Source organism: Homo sapiens, chromosome 17 (assembly GCF_000001405.40).
Source record: "Homo sapiens chromosome 17, GRCh38.p14 Primary Assembly".
NCBI lineage: Eukaryota > Metazoa > Chordata > Mammalia > Primates > Hominidae > Homo > Homo sapiens.
In genome coordinates, this window is record NC_000017.11 from 35399014 (window position 1) to 35408788 (window position 9775).

The following is a 9775-nucleotide window of genomic DNA, read 5'->3' on the forward strand; positions in this document are numbered from 1 at the left end:
AAATGGGAGAAAATTTTCGCAACCTACTCATCTGACAAAGGGCTAATATCCAGAATCTACAATGAACTCAAACAAATTTACAAGAAAAAAACAAACAACCCCATCAAAAAGTGGGTGAAGGACATGAACAGACACTTCTCAAAAGAAGACGTTTATGCAGCCAAAAAACAAATGAAAAAATGCTCACCATCACTGGCCAACAGAGAAATGCAAATCAAAACCACAATGAGATATCATCTCACACCAGTTAGAATGGCAATCATTAAAAAGTCAGGAAACAACAGGTGCTGGAGAGGATGTGGAGAAATAGGAACACTTTTACGCTGTTGGTGGGACTGTAAACTAGTTCAACCATTGTGGAAGTCAGTGTGGCGATTCCTCAGGGATCTAGAACTAGAAATACCATTTGACCCAGCCATCCCATTACTGGGTATATACCCAAAGGACTATAAATCATGCTGCTATAAAGACACATGCACACGTATGTTTATTGCAGCACTATTCACAATAGCAAAGACTTGGAACCAACCCAAATGTCCAACAATGATAGACTGGATTAAGAAAATGTGGCACATATACACCTTGGAATACTATGCAGCCATAAAAAATGATGAGTTCTTGTCCTCTGTGGGACATGGATGAAACTGGAAATCATCATTCTCAGTAAACTATCACAAGAACAAAAAACCAAACACCACATGTTCTCACTCATGGGTGGGATTTGAACAATGAGAACACATGGACACAGGAAGGGGAACATCACACTCTGGGGACTGTTGTGAGGTGGGGGGAGGGGGGAGGGATAGCATTGGGAGATATACCTAATGCTAAATGACGAGTTAGTGGGTGCAGCGCACCAGCATGGCACATGTATACATATGTAACTAACCGGCACATTATGCACATGTACCCTAAAACTTAAAGTATAATAAAAAAAAAAAGTGGGGAACCAGCTTAATGCCAGTGCCCACTGCTGCTTACAGGTTGGGTTACTTATAGATATGGGTGGAAGGGGTCTGGGCAGTATGGCTTGCTGCCCTGGAGAACGTTGATAATGTGTTCCCAGGATGAGGTGGTTCTGGCTCTTGTTCTGGGAGAATATGGTGTTCCTTGCACTTGCTCCCAGCAGAATATGAGGCAGGCTGTTTCTCATGGCTCCAACCCCCGTGGAATGTTTTACTTTCACCAAGGTCTGCGAAATGGCGGGGGACTTACAAAATGGTGCAGTTTGGACTAACATTCTGTATTGATATTCCCCCATTTCATTCCTGATATTGGTAGTTTATATGCTATTTTCCTTCGTTGTAAATCTCCCAAGAGATTTGCCAGTCTTGTGGGTCTTTTTTCAAATAACTGGCTGTTTGTTCTATTGATTTTCCTATTTTTCTGTTTCCAGTTTTATTGATTTTTGCTGTTTATTTCCTTCTTTTCTGCTTGTTTTGGGTTTATTCTGCTCTACTTTTTCTATGATCTTAAAGGGGGAGCATAGCAACTCTTCTTTTTTTTTTTTTTTTTTTTTTTTTGACAGAGCCTCACTCTGTTACCCAGGCTGGAGTGCAGTGGTGAGATCTCGACTCACTGCAACCTCCGCCTCCCAGGTTCAAGCCATTCTCCTGCCTCAGCCTCCCGAGTAGCTGGGACTACAGGCATGTGCAACCATGCCTGGCTAATTTTTTTGTATTTTTATTGGAGACAGGGTTTCACCACGTTGGTCAGGCTGGTCTCAAACTCCTGACTTCAAGTGATTTGCCCGCCTTGGCCTCCCAAAGTGCTGGGATTACAGGCGTGAGCCACCATGCCCGGCCTCTTCCTTTCTAATTATATTAGTTTCCTATTGCTGCTGTAACAAATTACCACAAAGTTAGCAGCTTAAAACAACATGAATTTATCATACAGTTCTGAAAGTCAGAAATCCAAAATCAGTTTCCCTGAGCTGAAATCAAGGTGTCGGCTGGCTTGTATTCCTTCTGGAGCTGTAGGGGAAAATCCATTTCCTTGCTTTTTCCAGCTTCTAGAGGCTGACTGCGTGCCTTGGTTTGTAGCCCCTTCCTCCATCTTCAAAGCCAGCAGTGCACAGCACCTTCTCTTGGCTCTATCCTGTGCTTCCATCCTTATATATTTTCTCTTTCTGTGGCTGATTCTCCTGAGTCCTTCTTATAAGGACCCTTGTGATAATATTGGATCCACCTGGATAATCCAAGATAATCTCATCACAAAAGTGTTAATTTAGTCACATCCAGAAAGTCCCTTTTACTATGTTAAGGCAACACATTCACAGGTACTAGAGATTAGGATATTTACATCGTTACGGGGGCTATAATTCAGCCTACCACACTAATGTGTGCATTTAGTGCTTAAATTTCACTTTCATCACTGAATCTCCTTACTGTCACTACCTATGTCTCACAAATTTTGATATACTGTATTTCCATTTTCACTCACTTAAATACATTTTTAAAATTTCCCATGAGACTTCCTCTTTGATCTATGGATTATTTAGAAGTGTGTTTTTAGTTTTTAAGTGTTTGGAGAGTTTCCTGTTATCTTTCTGTTATTGATTTGTAGTTTGATTCCATTTAGGCCATAGAACACCCTTTGAGTTTAATTTTAATCTTTAAAACTTTAATCTTTAAAATTTATTTAGGTTTCTTTTATGGCTCAGGTTATGGTCTATCTTGGTATATGTTCCATGGCATTTGAAAAGAATGTATATTCTGTTGCCATTAGGTAGAGATTTCTGTATATGTCAGTTAGATCGTGTTGACTGCTGTTGACTGGTGGTGTTACGTTCTTCTATATCCTTGTATATTTTCCTTTTTTTTTTTTTTGTAGAGACAGGTTCTCACTCTGTCACACAGGCTGGAGAGCAGTGGCATAATCATAGCTCACTGCAACCTCATCCTCTTGGGCTCAAGTGATCCTCCTGCTTCAGCCTTCCAAGTAGCCAGGACTGCAGGTGCACACCATCTTCCCCAGCTAATTTTGTTGTTGTTGTAGAGATGGGGTCTTGCTATGTTACCCAGGCTCCTGTTGCAGATTTTTTTGTCTACTTGTTCTAGCAGGTATTGATAGAAGGGTGTTAAAGTGTCCAGCTATAATTGTAGAGTCTATTTCTCATTTCAGTTCTAACACTTTTTGTGTCACATATTTCGCAGGTCTGTTGTTTGAAACACATACACATACAATCACTATATCTTCTTGATGGACTGATGTTCATCATTATATAATGTCCCTGTCTGTCTCTGGCAATTTTACTAAAAGTAAAATCTTACTTAAAGTAATATCAGATATTACTTTATCTGATATTAGTGTAGCCACTCCTGCTTTCCTTTGCTTGCATAATTCTTTTTCCATCCATTTACTTTCAATTTCCATACATTTGAAGTGAGTTTCTTTAGACAGCATGTAGTTGGGTCGTGTTTTTAAATATACTCTACCAATTTGTTTTTTAATTGGTGTATTTAGACCATTTACACTTCCTGTAATTATTTATATGTTTGGGCTTAAGTATCCCCTTTTATTTTTTGATTTATATTTCTTCTGTCTGTTTTTCTTTACTTTTTCCTGTCTTCCTGTGGGTTGTATGAATATTATTTAGAATTCCATTATGATGTATCTATTATGTTTTTAGTGTATCTGTTTGTATAGTTTTTATAGTGGTTGCTCTAGATATTGCATTATATATACATAATTTTTCACGGTGTACTGGTGTCATCATTTTACCAGTCCTAGTAGGATATAGAAATCTTACCTCCAGTTATGTCTCTTTAATCATTTTCACTTGTTTATAATAATATATTAAGTATTTCCTCTATAAACATGTAGAATCACATCAGACAGTGTTGTAATTTTTGTTTCAACTGTCAAATGTAATTTAGAAGACTTAAGCAGAGAAGGAAAGCCTACTGTTTTTTGTACTTACTGTGTTCTTTTTCCTTCCTGATGTTCCATGACTCCTTCTTTTTGCATTTTTTTTCTCTTTAGCTAACTTCTTTTAGCTGTTCTATTAGGGTAGGTCCTCTGGTGATGAATTCTCTTATTTTTCCTTCATGTGAGAATGTCTTGATCTCCCTTTCATTTCTGAAGAATATATTCTCTGTGCATAGAATTCCAGGTTGAGAGTCCTTATCTTTCAGCATTTGAAAAATATTGTACCACTTCCTTTTGGTCTCCAACTGTTATTCATTATTATTTATTCATAAATGCCCATCTGTACCTATTTTAAATACATCTACATAGTAAAATATAGTTATGTAAAACTTCTGAGTTTACTAAGTCAGATCTAATTTTTTACTTGTAGCATCAATAAAATTTACTTCTGTACCAATAACAATTACATACAAGGGTCAACAATTTAGCTCCCTAAAATTAAGCATCCCTGAAATTCAATGGAAAGGATTCTCTAATAACATGGTCACATTTTTAAACCTATTTGGAGCAACAGTTGGAAATATGTGATGAATAAGCTGAATAAATTATACAGAAGTGTTCTATCTAATTTATTAACTGAGAGGCCAAGGCAGAAGGATCTCTCGAGGCCAGGAGTTCAGAACCAGCCTAAACAACATAGTCAGACCCCCATCTCCGCAAAAATTAAATGGAATTAAAATTTTAAATTAGCTGAGTGTGGGGCTGAGGTTCTAGTTACTTGGGAGACTGAGGCAGGAGGAACACTCGAGCCCAGAAGTTCAAGCCAGCAGTGAGCCATGATTATACCACTGCACTCCAAACTGGTTGAGAGAAGGAGACCCTGTCTCTTTAAAATAAATAAATAAATAAATTGTAGCAGGACAAGCCACAGACAAAACCCCTCAGACACCGAGTTAAAGAAGAAAGGGCTTTATTCAGCCAGGAGCTTCAGCAAGACTCATGTCTCCAAAAACCGAGCTCCCCGAGTGAGCAATTCCTGTCCCTTTAAGGGCTCACAACTCTAAGGGGGTCCGCATGAGAGGGTCGTGATCGATGGAGCAAACAGGGGGTACGTGACTCGGGGCTGCCTGCACCGGTAATTAGAATGGAACAGGACAGGACAGGGATTTTCATGGTACTTTTCTATACAATGTCTGTAATCTATAGATAACATAACCGATTAGGTCATGGGTCAATCTTTAACTACCAGGCCCAGGATGTGGGGCCAGGCTGTCTGCTTGTGGATTTCATTTCTGCCTTTTAGATTTTACTTCTTTCTTTGGAGGCAGAAATTGGGCATAAGACAGTATGAGGGGTTGTCTCCTCCCTTAAAATCACGAACTGGTGGTATAGTGAGGAGCTATTCCTTCCAAAATCTTTTAAAAACATTACTGGTCATGGCTGAGAAAAGTGTCTCTGGAGTCTTAAAGTTAGTGAAAATAATTTTTCCCAATATAATTATCTTACTCCACATACGAAGTCTTGTAATCCAACCTGTAGAGAGTTGCCATGCACTGTGACTTACTTTGTATAATATAGTTCTCAACCCTTTGTACTCATATGCATGAGAAACTCTCAGTATCTCTCATTACACACAGTGATTTCAACATACCATAAATGGGCTGATTAAAAGTGAGGTCACTTTATGTACAAGGAAATACTATTCTCTGAGTTACATGGCTCAGATAACTCACAAAACCATCTACACCACATCAAAGTGCATTTGGGGTACACAAGTAAAGCCTCTACTATCAGCTACAAATTCATAGAGCCTGGAACTTCCAGGAAAATCAAGCAAATATAAAGAATCTGAATTTAGAAGTCAACTAATACAATAAAAAAGTAATTTTTAAAAGCCTGATTAAATTTTCAGTTAAAATATTCACATAATACTACACACTTTGAGAACTTTTAGTAATTAAAAGAATGGCTTTTAAAACTTACTTAAAACTGTTTAATGAGAACAGGTGGCTAGAGAAGCATTTTATACCACAGATGATTAAATGGACTCACCTTGTAAAGGGGTCATGAAAAAATAAGTTAAAAACAAGTAAAGTGCGTTAACAGATCAGTAAAATAATTTGGAAAACTATACATACTTCAAGAAAACGTTAATACATTTCCAAAAACACTAAATGTTAAGCTTTTTGTCTTGAAAAATACACAAAAATGTTTTATTTAAAAGATAAAAGTAGAAATTACTCTTTAAAAATCAACAAAGTAAAATTTTGAGATACAAAATGGTATATTAGGGGTGGGGGGAGTTTTCTTTTTAAAAAATAATAATGACTAAAGGAAACTCATGAAGTTTAATATCAATGTGAAAAATTACTATAAAATGATTTTTAGCCCCACTTGTTAAGAAACTATATTATATAGTATTATGTGCTATTTCTTTTCTAGAGCACCAAATAATCATCTGATATTAGGTGTTTTACACTGTAAATGAGCTAATTTGTTTATTTATTTATGGAGATAGGTCTCACTCTGTAATCCAGGCTGGAGTGCAGTGGAATAAACACAGCTCCTTGCAGCCTCGACCTCCTGGGCCCAAGCAATCCTCCTGCCTCAGCCTCCCAAGCAGCTGAGACCACAGGTGCACACCACCATGTCTGGCTAATTATTAAAAAAAAAAATTGCGTGGAGTTGGGGTCTCACCGTGTTGCCCAGGCTGGTCTCAAACTCCTGGGCTCAAGCAATTCTCACATCTCAGCCTCCCAAAGTGCTGGGATTACAGGTGTGAGCTACTGGGCCCAGCCCTAATTTGTTTTTAAATCCAAAAATAAATCAACAACAGAAGATAGCACTCTAACTTTTACTATTTTAAAATATTTTCTGCATAGCTTCCCCAAATATTAGCATTCTAATTGTGACCAGCATTATGGTTTTTAATGAGCCTAATCCAAGTAAACAATAAACAAATGCGCATGAAAACTGTGAGAAATAACCATTGGTGTATGCTTATGTTCCATAAATAGTTATCAAGTTTACCTTTAAATTGCATGTTTAGTTTTTCCTTACAACTTAACACTAGATACAGGAAACTGTAGAAGTCATAAACAAAGACTAAACAAAATCCTCTCGTCTTGCTAAGATGTGTACATGATTGCAGTAGACTTATGCTGAATATAAATATATGTTACATACATGTCTCTTATTCTATACAAAATCTCAGCCAATATTTTCCCACAGAGGAGAGGAATTTGTTCTCTCAAATTGAAAGTTTTTGCCCTTTAAAAAGGTTATTTTAAATAGCCCTAAAGAAATATGTTCTGAAAATAACAGTTGTATCATATTCCACTTACTATTTTCCGGTTGAAAACTTCAATAAAATAAGTTTACCATAGTCAATAAGCCTGTTCAATGAACACTGAAAAATAAAAATTTATCCCCAGAGTGATTGCAAATGAAAATGTGTGCTATTTCAAAATTACATGTACCTCTTTAAAAATCAGGGCAATTAATAGAACACTTAAATCGTATTAGCTAAATTCAAATTTAGCCCCTAACAATAAAGTTTTCTTATTCCTTTATAGTGTTTTACAAAATAATGAATTAATTATCATAATTTTCTTTTGCTACTTACTTCAAACTATAAAGTTAGGACTGCAAATTGATGTAGGTATCTTATATTATTGGTCTACACCTACTTATTTATAAACATTAATGGAAACAATACTGTTCCAATCTACCACAAGGATTTCCTTCTATTTTACAAGCAAGAACTTCTAACCCAGCTCAACAACAAATCACACTTTAAATTTGGGTTTGAAAACATGTATTATTAGAGGCACATGTTTAAAAACAAGTACAGTATGAAATCTTCCTTTTCAGTGAGCCAGTGAATTTTCATTCGTTTGTTTGTTTCTATGAATATTTGGTTTACTTCCTTCTTCTGGGCAAGATTAGTATGCAATTCTCATTAGCAAGTCAAAAACCTACAGACCTAAACTATATGAAAACTTAAGTTGGTATTGTTAGATGAAGACAGGTAAGCTAACACCAAAAGAACAACTGTACTAAATTTTAACACTATTCTTTAATAGTTCCATTTTCCTGAGTTTGTGTTTGTTCTTTGGCATTGGTTTAGGATATAATCCATTTTTTCAGAAGGCGTTGCTTGCTGGGGCCAATTTGGGCACCATGCTAAATCTGGAAAGAGCATAAAGCTTCAAGAGGGCGAAGCAAAGTCTCTTGTATGTAATTATTTTTCTCCAAGATGGAAAGAGCAACAGGTGCACACTCCAGTGTAGAAAGACATCTATTAATTGGCTGTATCCGAATTACATACTGACTAGAAATGCTCGTTTTTAACTGCACCTGTTTGGGGGTGTCAGAACAAGGAATTCTTACAGAAAATGTCCTTAGCCTGGCTCCGTGTACCATCAATGACGATGATTGTAGAAGGATAAACAGGAGAATCTAATATAAATTCTTCCAGATTAGCAGCTTCTTATATTAGCCCCTGGATATAACATTAATGTACCAAACTTCCGGCAAACAGTTGAAAGTTCAGGATCTCTTTCTTCACTGAAGCGACGACCAGTCTTCACTTTGCGCTTGTCCTGGGGGAGGCATGCTGCTGGTAGAGGAACTGTCCGCAACATTTTGTCTTCCTCTGCTGGATGCTGAATTATGCACAAGTAGGTAGAGATATGCAAAGGGTGCGCTGGGAGAAATGGACAAAAACACACTTTCTGAGGCCGGCTTGCAGCGGCTGCACGCAGGCCTCAGCTCCTCGGCTCCACCTGCAGCTCCCACAGCCCGCCCGCACTAGCGTCGTCCGCCTCTGTTCCCAGGGCAGCCGTCGCCAGCACTGCGCCGCCCTCCCGCTGCTCCTTGTAGTTTGGCGTCTGAGACCTTGAGGCCCCAGGCGGTCGCGCGACGGGGTCGCGCCTCTTTCTGCGACTCCATGGCGGACACTCTGGTCAGGCCTTCGATATAATATTTCAATATAGACTTAAGGAATAGATTGTATGTGTACATATAGATATGGATATAACATAAGTAACTAAATTAAAACAAATGTCCATAATTTGGCCCAATTAGAAATCCAGAATGTATATACCAAAGAATTTATATTACAAAAAGATAAAAGGACATTGATTAGATTTTTTGTCTCTACAACATAAGGTCTAAATTAACTTTAGCATTTGCTAAAATATACCAGCTGACATACTTCATGGACTCAATCAATACTGGGGCTCCAATTATACTTGGAGTGGGCCGTGGTGGCTTACACCTGTAATCCAAGCACTTTGGGAAGCCGAGGCGAGTGGATCACCTGAGGTCAGGAGTTCAAAACCAGCCTGGCCAACATGGTGAAACCCTGTCTCTACTAAAAATACAAAAATTAGCCAGGCATGGTGGCAGGTGCCTGTAATCCCAGCTACTCGGGAGGCTGAGTCAGGAGAATCACTTGAACCCGGGAAGCGGAGGTTGCCGTGAGCCAAGATAGCATCATTGCACTCCAGCCCGGGCAACAAGAGCGAAACTCCTTCTCAAAAAAATACATATTATACTTGGGGTTCTCATTAAATTTAAATATTGTATGCCCTCTAATCTTAAAAAGGTAACTAAAGTTAAAAAATATTTTGGATAACTATCCCTCACTTTACTGCTTTGGTTGAATTTCCCATAGTTTTGTACCCATTGCTTTAAAGTATCTCTTATTGGACACAGACTCTCTGACACAACAAATAATAAACTAAAGTTAAAATTTTGGCACTTAAAAAATGGCTTGATAAAATGGGACCCTATAAATCCCTCTTTAAAATAGTTAATATGGCACAATTTAAGTTAGAATAGGCCCTTCAAGGATTAAGACTTGTTATATAGAACCTCATTATGAAAGGGGATAATTATC

General features: G+C 37.8%; 1 pseudogene, besides 1 other annotated feature; it reads right to left on the minus strand.

Moving 5' to 3' along the window:
- Positions 7736–8844, minus strand: LOC729839 (DTW motif tRNA-uridine aminocarboxypropyltransferase 2 pseudogene; annotated as a pseudogene).
- Positions 9038–9251: a silencer, noted in NCBI's record as "fragment chr17:33735070-33735283 (GRCh37/hg19 assembly coordinates)". NCBI's record gives its function as "represses an EF-1alpha promoter that drives an FKBP-Casp9 reporter gene in an ReSE screen in HepG2 liver carcinoma cells {active_cell/tissue: HepG2}" and the evidence as "EXISTENCE:reporter gene assay evidence [ECO:0000049][PMID:32094911]".